Genomic DNA, 16775 nt, shown 5'->3' with positions numbered 1-16775 from the left:
TTGTCTGCCCCAAGTTCACAAAGATATGCTTATTTCTATGCTTGCTATGTTTACTTATAGAAGTGTTCTACTTTTAGTTCTACATTTAGGATTTTATTCATCCTGAATTAATGTTTGTGTATGGTATAAGGTAGGAATCAAAGGTAATTTTCTCCACATTTATAGAGTTTTTACAAAATGATTTGGTGAAAACTTTTCTTTCCCAGTTAAAACTGCTGCAGTGTCTTTTATTAAAATTGAATTGAACATATATGTATGCAAATATTGCTGGATTCTCTAGTGTATTGATCCTGTTTGCCTATCCTTATGCCAGCACAATGCCACATTTATTACTGTAGCTGTGTAGTCGGTCTTAAAATCAGATAGTGTATTTGTTTTTTTTATTCTAATGAAGATTTGTTTTGGTTATCCAATATGCATTATGCATTTCCATGTAAATTTTAAAGTAAACATGTCAATTTCTACAAATAAAATCTGTTTTCATTTTGACTGGAATGACATTGAATCTATTAATCAATCTAGGTAGACTTGACATCTTGACAATATTTAGTATTCTGACCCAGTTATTTAAGTCACCTTTAATAGCTCTCAGAAATATGTAGTTTTACTGCAGAGGTTTGGCATATCTTTTGTTAAATTTATTCTCTAGTATTTTATGCTTTTTGGTACTATTGAAAATCTTTCATTTAGCAGGGTAGAAAATTAAAAAAGAAAGAAAAATGAATTTGAGTTGTTCTCTTCTGTATGCTTTCCAATTGTTTGCCGCAAGTATATAGAAATAAAGACAACATTCAAATTGTCCCTGTTTGCAGATGACATGATTGTATATCTAGAAAACCCCATCGTCTCAGCCCAAAATCTCCTTAAGCTGACAAGCAACTTCAGCAAAGTCTCAGGATACAAAATCAATGTGCAAAAATCACAAGCATTCTTATACATCAATAACAGACAAACAGAGAGCCAAATCATGAGTGAACTCTCATTCACAATTGCTTCAAAGAGAATAAAATACCTAGGAATCCAACTTACAAGGGACGTGAAGGACCTCTTGAAGGAGAACTACAAACCACTGCTCAATGAAATAAAAGAGGACACAAACAAATGGAAGAATATTCCATGCTTATGGGTAGGAAGAATCAATTTCGTGAAAATGGCCATACTGCCCAAGGTAATTTATAGATTCAATGCCATCCCCACCAAGCTACCAATGACTTTCTTCACAGAATTGGAAAAAACCACTTTAAAGTTCATATGGAACCAAAAAAGAGCCCGCATCGCCAAGTCAATCCTAAGCCAAAAGAACAAAGCTGGAGGCATCACGCTACCTGATATACTACAAGGCTACAGTAACCAAAACAGCATGGTACTGGTGCCAAAACAGAGATATAGACCAACAGAACAGAACAGAGCCCTCAGAAATAATACCACACATCTACAACCATCTGATCTTTGACAAACCTGACAAAAACAAGAAATGGGGAAAGGGTTCCCTATTTAATAAATGGTGCTGGGAAAACTGGCTAGCTATATGTAGAAAGCTGAAACTGGATCCTTTCCTTACACCTTATATAAAAATTAATTCAAGATGGATTAAAGACTTAAATGTTAGACCTAAAACCATAAACCCCCTAGAAGAAAACCTAGGCAATACCATTCAGGACATAGGCATGAGCAAGGACTTCATGTCTAAAACACCAAAAGCAATGGCAACAAAAGCCAAAATTGACAAATGGGATCTAATTAAACTAAAGAGCTTCTGCACAGCAAAAGAAACTACTATCAGAGTGAACAGGCAACCTACAGAATGGGAGAAAATTTTTGCAATCTATTCATCTGACAAAGGGCTAATATCTAGAATCTACAAAGAACTCAAACAAATTTACAAGAAAAAAACAAACAACCCCATCAACAAGTGGGTGAAAGATATGAACAGACACTCCTCAAAAGAAGACATTTATGCAGCCAACAGACACATGAAAAAATGCTCATCATCACTCGCCATCAGAGAAATGCAAATCAAAACCACAATGAGATACCATCTCACACCAGTTAGAATGGCGATCATTAAAAAGTCAGGAAACAACAGGTGCTGGAGAGGATGTGGAGAAATAGGAACACTTTACACTGTTGGTGGGACTGTAAACTAGTTCAACCATTGTGGAAGACAGTGTGGCGATTCCTCAGCGATCTAGAACTAGAAATACCATTTGACCCAGCCATCCCATTACTGGGTATATACCCAAAGGATTATAAATCATGCTGCTGTAAAGACACATGCACACATATGTTTATTGCAGCACTATTCACAATAGCAAAGGCTTGGAACCAACCTAAATGTTCAGCAATGATAGACTGGATTAAGAAAACGTGGCACATATACACCATGGAATACTATGCAGCCATAAAAAATGATGAGTTCATGTCCTTTGTAGGGACATGGATGAAGCTGGAAACCATCATTCTCAGCAAACTATCGCAAGGACAAAAAACCAAACACCACATGTTCTCACTCACAGGTGGGAATTGAACAATGAGAACACTTGGACACATGAAGGGAAACATCACACACTGGGGCCTTTTGTGGGGTAGGGGGGAGGGGGGAGGGATAACATTAGGAGATATACCTAATGTAAATGACGAATTAATGGGTGCAGGACACCAACATGGCACATGTATACACATGTAACAAACCTGCACGTTGTGCACATGTACCCTAGAACTTAAAGTATAATAAAAATATATATATATATATAAAATTTCAAAAAAAGAAATAGGGTTAATTTGTGTATTTTGACCTTGTATCCTACAATCTAACTATTCACATAGACTTTGTAGGTTTTTATAAACAAGTTTTTTTAAGGTAACAAATCATGTTGTCTCCAAGTAAATACAGTTTCATTTCTCCCTTTGCAATCACATGTATTTTATTTCTTTTTCTTGCCATATGTTATTGGCTAGTGTCTCCAGTGCAGTGTAAAATAATAAGTAATAAACACAAACTTTCTTGCATTGTTTCAAGACTTACAGTGAAAGAATTTAATATTTCTTTATTATCATTATTTCTTAAGACAGGATCTTGCTCTGTTGCCCAGGCTGGAGTGTAGTGGCACAGTCATATCTCATTGTAACATCAAACTCCTAGGCTCAAGTGATCCTCCTGCCTCAGCCTCCTGAGTAGCTTGGACTACAGGCATATGTCACCACACTTAGCTAATTTTTGCATTTTTTTGTAGAGATAGGAGTCTCCGCATGTTGCCCAGGCTGGTCTTGAATCCCTGGCCTTAAGGGATCCTCCTGTGTTGGCCTCCCAAAGTGTTGAGTTTACAAGTATTAGCCACTGTGCCCAGTTTACATTCAATATTTCATCAATAAGTATAATGTTAGCTTTGCAGACACCACCACCACCGGGAGCCCAGTACTACCCACCATGGTCAATTCCACTGTGTTCTTTGACATCGCCATCAACAGCCAGTCCTTGGGCCTCATCTTTTTCAAGCTGTTTGCAGACAAATTTCCAAAAACAACGAAAACTTTCATGCTCTGAGCACTGTAGAGAAAGGATTTGGTTATAAGGGTTCCTGCTTTCACAGAATTATTTCAGAGTTTATGTGTCAGGGTGGTGACTTCCCATGCCATAATGGCACTGATGGCAAGTTCATCTACGGGGAGAAATTTGATGATGAGAACTTCATTCTGAAGCATACAGGTCCTGGCATCTTGTCCATAGCAAATGCTAGACCCAACTCAAACGGTTCTCAGTTTTTCATCTGCACTGCCAAGACTGAGTGGTTGGATGGCAAGCATGTGGTCTTTGGCAAGGTGAAAGAAGGCATGAATATTGTGGAGGCCATGGACCGCTCTGGGTCCAGGAATGGCAAGACCAACAAGAAGATTATCATTGCTGACTGTGGGCAACTCTAATAAGCTTGACTTGTGTTTTAACTTAACCACCAGACCAATCCTTCTGTAGCTCAGGAGAGCACCCCTCCACCCCATATGCTTCAGTATCCTATAATCTTTGTACTCTCATTGCAGTTCCCTTTGTGTTCTCTCTTTTCCTTATTCCCTTTCTATGCCTAGCTGGATTGCAGAGTTAAGTTTATAACTATGAAATAAAAACTACATAACAATAAAGAGCATAACATTATCTGTAAGTTTCTCATAGATGCCCTTTATGAAATTAAAGCATTTTCTTTCTATTCTATTCTTCCTTTAGTGAAGGTTTCTAATCATGAATTGATGTTTTATTTTGTCAAATGCTTTTTCTGCATATATTGAATATAACTATCATAGTTTTCTCTTTTTCTCCTTGATGTGTGAGTTTCATTGATTGGTTTGAAGAAGACCTTGAACTAAGCTTGCATTCCTAAGATAAGCTCTACTTGGTAATAATATATTATCCGTTTTAGGCATTGCTCAATTTGATGTACTAATGTTTTGTACAGAATTTTTGCATCTGTGTTCATGAGGAATACTCATCTGTAATTTTTTATTTCTTTGTTTTATTATCTGTTTTTAAAATTTATTTGACAGGCTTTGATGTCAATATAATTCTGGCCTTGTGAAGGAAATTTGGGGCAGTTCCCTTCTCATATATTTTTTAAGAAGTTTGCAGGCTGGGCATGGTGGCTCATGCCTGTAATCCCAGTCTGAGGGAGTCTGAGGCAGGAGGATCACTTGAGTCCGGGAGCTTGAGACCAGCCTGGTCAACACAGGCAGACTGTCCCTACAAAAAAATTTGAAAATTAGCCAGACATGGTGGCATGCACCTGTAGTCCCAGCTACTCAAGAGGCTGAGGTGGAAGGATTCCTTGAGCCCAGGAGTTTGAGGGTGCAGCGAGCTATGATTGTGCCACTGCACTCCAGCCTGGGCAACAAAGCAATAACCTGTCTCAAAAGAAAGAAAAAAGTTTGTGTTAGATTTGTATTATTTCAGCTGGGCATGGTGGCTCACACCTATAATACCAGCACTTTGGGAGGCTGAGGTGGGAGGATCACTTGAGATCATGAGTTTGAGACCAGCCTGAGGAACATAGTGAGACCCTGTCTATACAAAATATTTTTTAAGGCTGGGTGTGGTGGCTTACACCTGTAATCCCAGCACTTTGGGAGGCCAAGGCAGGTGATCACTTGAGGCCAGGAGTTCAAGACCAGCCTGGCCAACATGGCAAAACCCCATATCTACAAATACAAAAATACACACAAAAAAATTAGTGAGGCATGGTGGTGCACATGTGTAATCTCAACTACTTGGGAGGCTGAGGCATGAGAATTGCTTGAACCCGGTAGGCGGGGTTGAAGTGAGCCGAGATCTCACCACTGCATCCCAACCTGGGCAACAGAGCAAGACTCTGTCTCCAAAATAATAATAATAATAATTTTTAAAAAGTTAGCATGGTGTGGTAGCACACGTCTATAGTACCAGGTACTTAGGAGGCTGAGACGGGGGATCCCTTAAGCTCAGGAGTTTGAGGCTGCAGTGAGCTATGATCAGTGCCACTGCACTCCAGCCTGGGCAACAGAGTGAGAAGTCATCTCCACTAAAAAAAAAAAAAAAAAAAAAAAAAATTTATACTATTTCTACCTTAAATATTTGATAGAATTCATCATTGAAACTATCTGGGTCTATGAGATCAGCTACTTCTGGATGATGCGGTATGAGAGAAAAAAACATATTCATGGGCTCACTCCTGTGCCTCCTTCTTTGAAGTGGGTTCCCTGCTCAAATGCTGTGTTTGTGAGAGTCCAGGCCTAGATGTCAGTAATTCTGTAAGCCCCCTAGAGAGTGGTACTAGCTGAGATTTTGCATTCCTGGAACCAGTATTTATCTCTGTGAGAATGAAATTCTGACCGTTCCAGAATTTAATAGTTGATTTGGTGGCAAATCAACTACTTGGATAGAAGGGGCCCAAAGTAGCTGACTTGCCACCAAGTTACGGGTTGTCTTCCTGGAGGATCAGTGCCATATATTGCCATATTAGTGGTAGGCACATTGGTCTACGCCACTGAAAGTTTGAATATTCAAAAGAGGCAATAGCTATATCGAACCTGGTAAAAAGTCCATGCTGTTGACCTATACGTAGCTTCCATATCTGCCACTATAGCATTTCTTGTGCTGGTTGCAGGGTGGCCAATGACAAAGACTAGCTAACATCAACTGTCCAAATAATGTTAAATAATTGGTTGCTCAGTGCCTCTTTGCTGGTGGATGTGTGCAAGTGAGGGTTAACGTGTGATACAAAAATCTTTACACTTTATGCCCACTTTCATATTTCCTCTGCCTCCATATATCTACCTGAGACTTCCTTGTCTTCAGTCTTCTAGTCCTTTTCCTTCCAGCCCCCTTAACAGACAGTTAGGCCATTTTCCACTATCTAGGATTTTTCATATATTTTTGTTTCAGGCGACTTCTTTCACAAAAAGTGGATGACTCAGTATACTTACAACAGGTCTGCCCATTGGAAATTTCACTCTCCACTTTCAAGGCCAACTCGGATTGTACCTATAATACAGTCACTGTTTATAGTCAGCTTGCACACACATACTGAGACCAATCATTGACAAACCAAGATCATGCTTTTTCCTCCTCTATCAGCTGGTCGTATGAGACCCCTTATGTGGCCATAGGTGTAAGCTGGGAAATAAACACTTGTGCAACTACGGAGAGTGATGTACTGTATACTCATGCCCTCTGGTCATACTTGGGCTTAACCTCGGAAAAACTATTATGATGAACAGCAGCTGGGCCTGCTCTAATTTGTGATTTGGTAAGTCCCACCTCTGACATTTCCAGCAAATTTGGGGTCAGTCATGGGCCCGAATGACAGAACTGCTTGCACCACAGCCTTGCTTTAGTGGACAGCTTTTTCCTGCTCTGGGCCTCACTCAAAGCTAGTGGTACTTCTAGGTGTATAGTGTGTTATCTTATACACCCACAAATGAAAGATGCCTGTCACACACTGAGCTTCCTTCTTTGTGATAAGGGATGCAAGATGTGCCTCTTAATTTGAAGGGGATAGTCCAATGTTCCCCAGACTACTAGATCCATACAAACTACATCAAAGTGAGAGGTCAATAAATCTTCATAGTGTTTATCTTGCAAGTGTCTTATGAAGTCTTCTAGAGTATTATCCAGTCGGCATAATGTCATTGATGGAATGAATCAATATGACTTGTAGCGAAATTTCAAGAAGATCCAAATATCTTCAGATTATATTGTGGTAAAAGGAAGAGGGTCAGCATAGCCCTGGATCAAAGCTGCAGTTGAATATTACTCACATCACATGAATGCAAATTATCTCTAATCTTCTTTCTAATTGGAATAGAAAAGAATCCATTTCCCAAATCAATGACCACACACCACGTACCTGAAATCTCATTAACCTATTTTATCTCATTTATCTAGCAATAAAACCACATCCAGCACAGTAGCTACAACTGGGGCTATCACTTGTTTGAGCTGTGGTTTTCTGCTGTTATTCTCCAGAATCACCCAGTTTCTGCAGGATCCAGACTGGTGCTGCTAAATGAGGATATGAGAGTGAGTAGTGACCACCATCCCTGCATTTTTAGATCTTTAATAGTAGCATTAATCTCTGCTATTCCTCTACTCCAGGGTGCAATTTTTCTCCATTTGCTGCCTTGGCTGGGGGAAGGGGTGTATGGACGGTTTCAAGAGGTTTCCACTTGGCCTTCTCCACTATGATATGGCCTTCCCCACAGGTCAATGATACAAAGTGGGGTTCCTCTGACTGCCAGTATGTCAATCCTAGTTATGCACTTAGAGATTTGAGAAAGGATCACTGGGGGTGTCTATGGACCCACCGTAGCTAGAATTTACACAGGCATTTATTTGTTACCTGGCCTCATCAAACTCCAATCTCACGGGGGCAGAAGGAGGACCATGATGACACTGTGTCTCTGGAGATGAATCAAATTAGACAATGTGTCCTTTTTTTGGGGCAGGGACTTCTGAATTAAGATGATCCTTCAGTGCTATCCCAAGTTGAGGTGAGAGAGTGGTGCCTTTGTACCCCTACTGGATCAGTCATTAGGTGTTAGCTGCCCTGAAGAGGCCTTATCTCTGAATATGTTTGCCCAAGATTCCCAGCACCATAGCTATTAACTCCTTGTTCCTGAAGGGACATTTGGGCAATGGATCACAGTATCTACTACAGGAATGTCCTTAGAAACAATGTCTGTAAGAGAGTAAAAAAGCATGATTGGGCGGAGGGAGAAGTTGAAGTGTGATGCAGTTGTAACAGAGTCCTCAGCAAATCCAGGGAGCTCTGGAACTGGCATGACCCTTCAGAGTTGTCCTGAACTCTTGTACTCTTTGTACCAGAGTTTGTACTCTTGCTTCAACCAGCATTGAATGCAGGCTGCCCATCAAAAAGGGATATAAAGCCGGTTGCCGTGGCTCATGCCTGTAATCCCAGAACATCAGGAGGCTGAAGAGAGCAGAGATCATTTAAGGCCAGGAGTTCGAGACCAGCCTGGCCAACATGGTGAAACCCCATCTCTACTAAAAATACAAAAATAATCTGGGCATGGTGACACATGCCTGTAGTCCCAGCTACTCAAAAGGCTGAGGCACCAGAATCAGTCGAACCCTGGAGGCAGAGTTTGCACAGAGCTGAGATGGCACCGCTGCACTCCAGCCTGGGTGACCCTGTCTAAAAAAGAGTGAGACCCTGTTTAAAAAAAAAAAAAAAAGGAAAGAAAGAGAGAAGTAGAAAAAGAAAAAGGGATATATAATCTTAAACCGAGGACAATGCTCAAGGAGGGAATCCTTGTGAGCTGCCAACAGTCAATACTCTCAACAGTTGGGAAAATGAATGCCTTAGTCTTAGAGGGAGTCTCTGGGTGGTGTACCACAATCTCCATAACAGGAATCAGCAGCATATAGACACTAACTCATGCCATGAATACGGATGAGATCATTAGGGAGAAAATATGGAGAGTAAAGAGAAGAGCATCCAGAACCTAGCCCTAAATCAAACCAAACCAGTAGAAGTCAGTTAGAGGACAGCTGGCAAAAAGAGATGGAGAAAGAGCAATCAGCATGCTAGGAGAAAATCCAGGAGAACAAAGTGTAACTGAAGTCAGAAAAGATAGAATTATCTACCAAGTGGAATAATACTGAAGGGCTAACAAATAAAAGACAAAAAACATGTCCATTGTTTTGTCAATATGAAGTCCACTGGTAATTTTGAGCAAAAATTATTTTAGCAAATGCAATACACAGAAGCCAGATTACAGTGTGTTGAAGGATGAAATGGAGTTCAGGCAGTGAAGACAGCATACATATTTATACAACTTTTTTAGTTTTACTGTACAAGGGAACATAAAAATGGGGGGAGGTGGTAGCTGAAGGGAAATAAGGGTTTACAGAGGATTCTAGGTCTTTTTGTTTATTTATGCTTGCTTCTTAATTTGGTATCTATTAGAGTGTGTTTGTAGTTGGGGAAAGAGACGAATGATGGTGGAGAAAAAATAAGAGAAGAAATAGGGACAATATTTGGTTGATAGAACAACTCAGTCCCAGGACAGAATTGGAGAGGATAGCCTTTGGTAAGCACAAAACTATGACAAAAGAAGATGGGGAGAGATGCAGGCAAGATTGTTGATTTGATGGTGGAGAATGAAGAAATTCCCAACTGATGCCTTTTATTTTCTCAAAGAAATATAGTAGTCTTGGGTAGGCTCTGTTTTATGCATTGCAGATCTGTCTCCATCCTAAACTATGATGGCTCAAGGCTCTGGTTCTCATCATTACACAGGAAGAGAGAAACAAGGTGTGGCTCTGAAGAGCTGACAGCCACTTGGCACATGTCACTTCAGTTTTTTGCCTTCTTTCTTTTTACTTCCATTTACAGTCATGTGTGCCAGCTTTCAGACTGGTAAACAAAGGGTGGGGCTGAAGGTCAAAAGGTGATGAGATCTCAATCTGAACTTACTGGCGTGATCAGCTGTGCTTCCTCATTATAATCAGGAAATCCTGGAATGACCCATCCAGCAAGAGCGCATCTGGAGAGAGGGGGCAGGGTGTATGGTAAGGAAGGGAGGGGCTCATCTCCCTTTTCTAGGCTCAAAATGGATGGTCATTTCTTTCATTCATATCTGTGCATATATTCCTATAAATACATGCACATTCAATCTCTGCAATATTTTGTTTGCCCTTTAAGGCTCTGTTGTTTTTATGATCTCCTTCCCCACTAGAGGAGATTTCACTGAATTTATAGATGAGGTCTGTTGATTTACAGATAGAGCAAAGATAGTCAATATTCTGTCTTATGTCATAAAAGCATACAGATATTAGTGGTAAAACAAAGAAAATAAAGCAAAATATATTTCTTTTTTGTTTTCTGTTTGTTTCTTGAGAAAGGGTCTTGCTCTGTCACCCAGGCTGGAGTACAATGGTGTGAACATGGCTTACTGCAGCCTAGGCTTCCTACGCTCAAGACAGCCTCCTGCCTCAGCCTCCTATGTACCTGGGACTACCATTCAGGCTAATTTTTTTCTTTTTTATCTTTTTTTTTTTAATTAGAGACACGATCTTACTGTGTTGCCCAGGCTGGTATTGAACCCCTGGCCTCAAGTAATTCTCTTGCATTGGCCTCCTAAAGTGCTGGGATTATAGGTGTGAACCACAGTACCCAGACACAAGATACATTTCTTGACATGAAAAAATATTCCCAATATATTGCTCAGCAAGGAAAGTAGATTTTTTAAGTGGATATAGGCTGGGTGTGGTGGTTTACACCTGTAATCCCAACACTTTAGGAGGCTGAGGGGGGAGGATAGCTTGAGGCTAGGAGTTTGTGACCAGCCTGGGTAACATAGCAAGATCCCTTCTCTACAAAAAATTTAAAAAGTATTCAGTCTTGGTGGCATGCACCTGTAGCCCCAGCTACTCAGGAGACTGAGGCAGGAAGATCATTTGAACCCAGGAGTTCAAGATTGCTATGAGCTATGATTGTGCCACCACACTCCAGCCTGGGCAACAGAGAGAGACCCTGCCTCTCAAAAAAAAAAAAACAAAAGAGGGCCTGGCACGGTGGCCCACACCTGTAATCCCAGCACTTTGGGAGGCCAAGGTGAGTGGATCACTTGAGGTCAGGAGATCAAGAACATCCTGGCCAACATGGTGAAACCTCTCTCTACTAAAAATACAAAAATTAGCTGGGTGTGGTGGCGCACACCTGTAGTCCCAGCTACTTGGGAGGCTGAGGCAGGAGAATCGCTTGAACCTGGGAGGCGGAGGTTTCAGTGAGCTGAGATCACACCACTGCACTCCAGCCTGGCAACAGATCGAGATTCTGTCTCAAAACAAACAAACAAACAAACAAAAACAGATATACATATATATACAAATATACACTTTTAAATGGCTAACATCTCTTAAGTGATTATTATGTGCCAGTTATAATGTTAACTCTGGATATTGAAAATGAAGGTTACATTTTTTAGATTTTAGCAGTAGTTATTCATTTTTCTATATGCATTGCTTATGTAAATAAAAGTTAATTTTAGAGCCAATATCAGGTTGCTGGTAGACTTTGCCATTTACATGCAGATTCCATGGTTCCTCCTCCCCATTTGCAGCCTATAATTGTATCAGACATGAGGTTTGGGAGTTCTTTGCTCTAGCCTGACTGAAGCTTTTCTCTGCTCTTTAACACTTGCCATGGTTTTGGGGCTAAGTTTGGAATGCCCTGTAGAAGCTGATAATTTCCTGAGCTCCGTAATTTGCTAACAACAAATTTCATGTGTTCAGCAACATTAGCTTAATCTAATTCCTGTTCTCTTCTAAAAGAAGCTCCCGGGCTTCAGAGAGCATATGCATGGCTTCCCATTACTTCAGGGTTTGTGGCTTTGACCTCAGAAGTCTCTTAACTGCTTGAATGCCAGAAGCAGTTCCATCCTGTGACTGCTTGCTGTCAGAAAGAAGGCAATAAATGCCTCCTCCACACTCTTAATGGTCTCGTTTTCCACTCTACAACGTCTCTGTGTACAAGAAATAAAACTTCACCTTTTCTCTCTTATCAAGTCTGAGCCCAAGAGAGATTGTAAAAGTGTGCTCAGAGGAACCAAGTATGTTTTCACAACTTGTCTATCTTATTCCAATCAGGAAGTTACCCGACAACCGAATAACTGCTTTTTTTTTTTAACCCTACCCTTTGTCTTCTATAAACTGAGTTTCTTCTTAGGGAGTTAGCCTGCCTGCTAAACTCTGAAAACCATATGATTCGTTTTTAAGCCTGCTGACAATAACAGGCATATTGTTAAAATTGTTGGAAATCTTTGTCCTGATTTCCCTCTCTTGAAGTTGAAAATGATCTGAATGTTGGCATCCCACAGTTCCTATTAAACCTCCCTGTTTCCTTTGGAGATCACAGCTGAAGGAAGAGGGCTGGCAACACATCCCTAAAGGTGATGTTTTAAAAAGAGTAATCCAGGTGAACAAAAAAGGGACAGAAACCCACTATTATCATGTTTCCTGATTCGTCAAGGAGGCTTTCTGACTACCCTATTGGCTGATCTTTTGGATATTGTGCTATTTCGCCATAGTTTCCTAGGGAGTATTTTCCTGAACAACTAGTTACGCTTGTTTTACGTAACAGGAAAAGAATACTCTTTTTAATTCTAAACTTTTTTTTAATAATTCTAAACTTTTCTTTCTGAAAGCTACTTAAACTCTTAAAATAAGACCCTAATTTGAATTAAAAAGAAAAAAAAGTAAAAGTACAAGAAGACTCAATCAGAAACTAAATTGTTGTCTTTTATTTCCTAGCTTTTTTATCTGCTCCGCATCCCTGTTCCTGATTACTGATTTTCCCTGCAGTTATTTGGATCCAATTACCTCCACCAGTTAGTTGATTTTCCTCTATTTTAATCCAAAGGGCCATTATTGACCAAGGGCAGGGCTGGACCTCAGGAATGGGAGGCACAATGGTTAAAGCTAGGCCTTGATCACAACTAGAAAAATGACTCAGAATGCACGTCCTTTTCCAAGTGGGTTGGTGACCGCTTCTTTGTCTACAAAGGTCGGCATATTCACTGCATTCTTTTTCCTTTTCTCTTTTTTTTTCTTTTTCTAGGCAACTGTGGCAGGGGGAAATGGTATTTCTTCCAAAGAGTATAAAGCAGAATACTTGGGGAAAGGACCAGAAGCAGATTTGCCTGGACATCTCACTTTTCTGCTTGGTGGATCTTGAGAGTGAATAGTCTCAGCCACCATCTGAGATCTGTGCACCACCGCCTGTCACCTCAGGCTGATATCGTGATTGCTTTAAACGCTTAAGGATCACCTGCACACGTTGTTCTTCATGGGACCCATGAGTCAAATGACATGTACAGAGATACAGAGGCTATGTGAGTCAAGGATATCCCTATGTTTATACAAACAATTTCTTAAAATTTAACAGTTAATAAATATGACATATAGAAATTGATTATTATTAATACCTTATGCCCATCAATAGCTGCAGTATTGCACACTAATCAAATGGATTAGCAAGGATCATTTCTTCAAAGTGCCTCTGATATCACCAGTGAAAAGTTTCCTGAAAGTCACAGCAGCACAAGGGCAAAAAAAAAAAAAAAAAAAAAAAAAAAAACTCTATTTCAAAATGATAGAAACTCTAGGAACTAACATTGTTCTCTTTTAAGATAAAAGGATGTATCCCCATCCTCTGAAACAGGAACCTGTGAAATCTTTCTTTATTATGAGATAGGAAGCTCTAAAAGAATCCTCTTCATTTTCCCTTAGAGACAAACCAATCAAGGAAATCACAAGGAAGAAGGATATGTCAGTGTGAGATGAAAGAGATTAAATAAGCTTTAGTTTAGTTTATATAATTCTTTGAAGACACTCCTTCTTTTATTCCTTTCTCCTCTCTAATTCTTAAAATGCCAGCCCCATAACCACTCTGAATCATCATTTTAATCTGAGAGAAAGTTCACTTTGATTCCAGAGGATGCTGAGGAGTACTTCATATCAAATACCTATACATTCTTTAGGGAGAATTCATCTCTCTACATTCTCGAAGATACCCCCCACCATACACACACAGGAAAACACACATACATGTTCATGCCCACACACTCAGTCACTCACATTTTTTTTTCTTTAGTGAGTGCTTAATCAGGTTTTTCCTTGACCCACCCATTATCATTTAGCAAAACCTCAGAGAATAAAAAAAAAACAGCAGGGCTCTGTACACCACCTCCAAATGCCACAATGGCACAACTGTGACTGATGAATGAATTGTCCATCCTTGCACAGAAGTTGAAAGCAAACTCCAAAGAATCCTAGTTGTGATGGCCAGGATTTTAGAGATTAGAATTCCAGTACATTTTATTTTCGGTAACCTAATGGGGCAGAGCACTATGAGCAAGAATGCACAAAACAAAGCCAGAGACAGAGAAAAAATATGAACAAGAAAAGGGAGAAAATAAGGATAGATGGTAGCAGATGCTTTAAAATGGAAAATTAAATATGATATTTTAAATTAAGAATAATCTAAACAGAACAGGGGAAAATAATTTAGCCTGCAAGAACAAAACAGAGGCCAGGCATAGCTCATGCCTGTAATCCCAGTGCTTTGGGAGGCTGATGCTGGAGGATCACTGGAGCCAGGAGTTTGAGACCTGCCTAGCCAACACAGCAAGACTCTGTCTCTCAAAAGACATTTTTAAAACTCAAGAATGGAGGAGGAAGTGGTGAAATTAGCCTAGGGGGAAAAAAAAGAAGCTGGAACCAAAATAATATGGAGACCTTCACTGTTAGCAATTTTAAGTGGTTAAAATCTGTATTTTTTTTTCCATTTCCTGGCATGTAAAGTTCTCTTTACCAACACCAAGATCAAAATAAGTAGTCATCAGACCATTAGTCAGCACTTCTAATAGAATTGCATCAAGCATTAATCATCTCTGAAAAGGAGTTCCCCATTCTTCCCTTCAAAGTGATAGCTTTTAGACCAGTCATCATAAACTAAGTTTTGAATTTCATGTTCAAGGTTATTATAGGATAATTCAATTTACATAAAATCTTTACTCAAAAACCTACATTTCTGTTCATAATGATTTTCTTTTGTGGAATGGTCTTTAGGGCCAATGAAACCTAGATTCAAGTCCCTGTTCTGCCAATTACTAGTTCTGTATCCTTGAACACAGTTTTTAAAAACTTCCTTGAGCCTCGGTTTCTTGCTACACACAATGGTGATTCTAAGGATTAAATGAAAGAGGCAATATAAAAGGACCTTTCTCATCACTAGTATATAACAGGTGTTCAATAAATTACAGCAATGATTATCATCATAGTAAAGAATCAATATTCACATATATAATAAATGGATGAAAGAGAAAATCCTGGAAAAAGAGCTAAAGCCACAGGGGACTGTAAATGTACATATACGAACAAAGAGGAGGTGATGATGTATGTTTTCGTGTGTATGCGTATGCCTGTATGTGTGTCCAGTGTGGGAGCAAACTGCAAGTGCAGGATAAAGAAAGAGAGAGAGAGATCTGACAGCAAAGATGGAGAAGAGGATAAGGAAAAATAAGAGGAAGGGAGAACCTTTTAGAGAAAGCGAAGGGCACATTGGGATCAAGAGGAAAGGTTTGACTTAAAGGTCTGCAACCACTGTCAATTCCAAATCAACAGACAGACAGACAAGTTCCAGGGCCGCCAACACCTGGGTGCAGTCCAGTCACCTGGATAGTCAGAGAACCATAAAGCTAATAAACAATGAGTTCCTTAAGGCACCAGCCATGCTTCTGTAACAAGTAAAATTTTGAATATTAAAATGCATTTTTTTTGCCTCCTTGAGTAGAAACCTTCACATTAGTCTGCCCTAGCCAATGACTTGCCCAGATGGAGAGTCTGAATTTATTATAGAAGAAGAACAAGAGAATGAGTAACATTCTGCTTCTGTCTTTCAGAAAGTAGGTTTATACAAGCCTCTTGAAAAGGGATTTGCTGAACTCCCTTGTGAGGCATTAGTATTTTAACAACCAAGCATGGAGATTTCAGATCAATGTGGTTTAAAAACAAAAATAAAAAGAAGGTAACCTGCTTGTCATTAAGATTAAGCTAGGAAGAGTCAGGAAGAAGATAGAATAGAAAGAAAGAAAGAAAGAAAGAAAAAGAAAGAAAGAAAGAAAGAAAGAAAGAAAGAAAGAAAGAAAGAAAGAAAGAAAGAAAGAAAGACAGACAGACTAGCCCTTTGTTAGTGTGGAGAACTGTGGAAAGCAGAGAGAGAGGGAAATGAACTGGTGAAGGTTGTCCTAATCTCCCCTCCCCCAGCTCTTCTGAGTTTGGCCCAGGTAGGGAAAGGGGCACAAGGGAAGCAAAGTTAACTCCAAAGGCAGAGTGGGGGCCACTATTAAAAAGACTCCTCATGAACTCAAAAGAGGGGGCTCTGTGTGTGGCATGCTCCCATACAAACCTAGGGACCAAGCCCACCCCTAGGTAGGTCAGACATGGTCAGTCAGAGCGAGGTAGAGAGGACTCAGAAAGAGCAAGCCTCTCTGCTTATCAGAGGCAGGTAAAGCCAGGGCTGGATGAAAGGCCAACCAAACTTCAAAGGGATCTCTAGCACCAGGGGAAACTGAAATGAGGGCAGGTCAGCCAGAGCACACAACAGGACTTTAACCAGACCCAGTGAGACCAACCACAGGTCACACCCACTCAAGCAATCACCCCAGGGCAAGCAGTACCAAATGAGAAGGAGATAATTGGCTGGAGGAGAGCCAAGGCAAGCAGGGAA

At 40.1% G+C, this 16775-nt stretch overlaps 1 pseudogene, besides 1 other annotated feature; it reads left to right on the top strand.

The window, feature by feature from the left end:
• PPIAP7 (peptidylprolyl isomerase A pseudogene 7) lies at positions 3386 to 4131 on the top strand (annotated as a pseudogene).
• Positions 14238 to 15437: an enhancer, noted in NCBI's record as "P300/CBP strongly-dependent group 1 enhancer chr1:101724915-101726114 (GRCh37/hg19 assembly coordinates)". NCBI's record gives its function as "activates an origin of replication core promoter dependent on BRD2, BRD4, P300/CBP, MED14 and CDK7 cofactors, with strong dependence on P300/CBP, by STARR-seq in HCT116 cells {active_cell/tissue: HCT116}" and the evidence as "EXISTENCE:reporter gene assay evidence [ECO:0000049][PMID:35650434]".

The sequence above is a fragment of the Homo sapiens genome, chromosome 1 (genome assembly GCF_000001405.40).
Source record: "Homo sapiens chromosome 1, GRCh38.p14 Primary Assembly".
Taxonomy (NCBI): Eukaryota; Metazoa; Chordata; class Mammalia; order Primates; family Hominidae; genus Homo; species Homo sapiens.
This window is presented reverse-complemented; position numbering and strand designations above follow the sequence as displayed.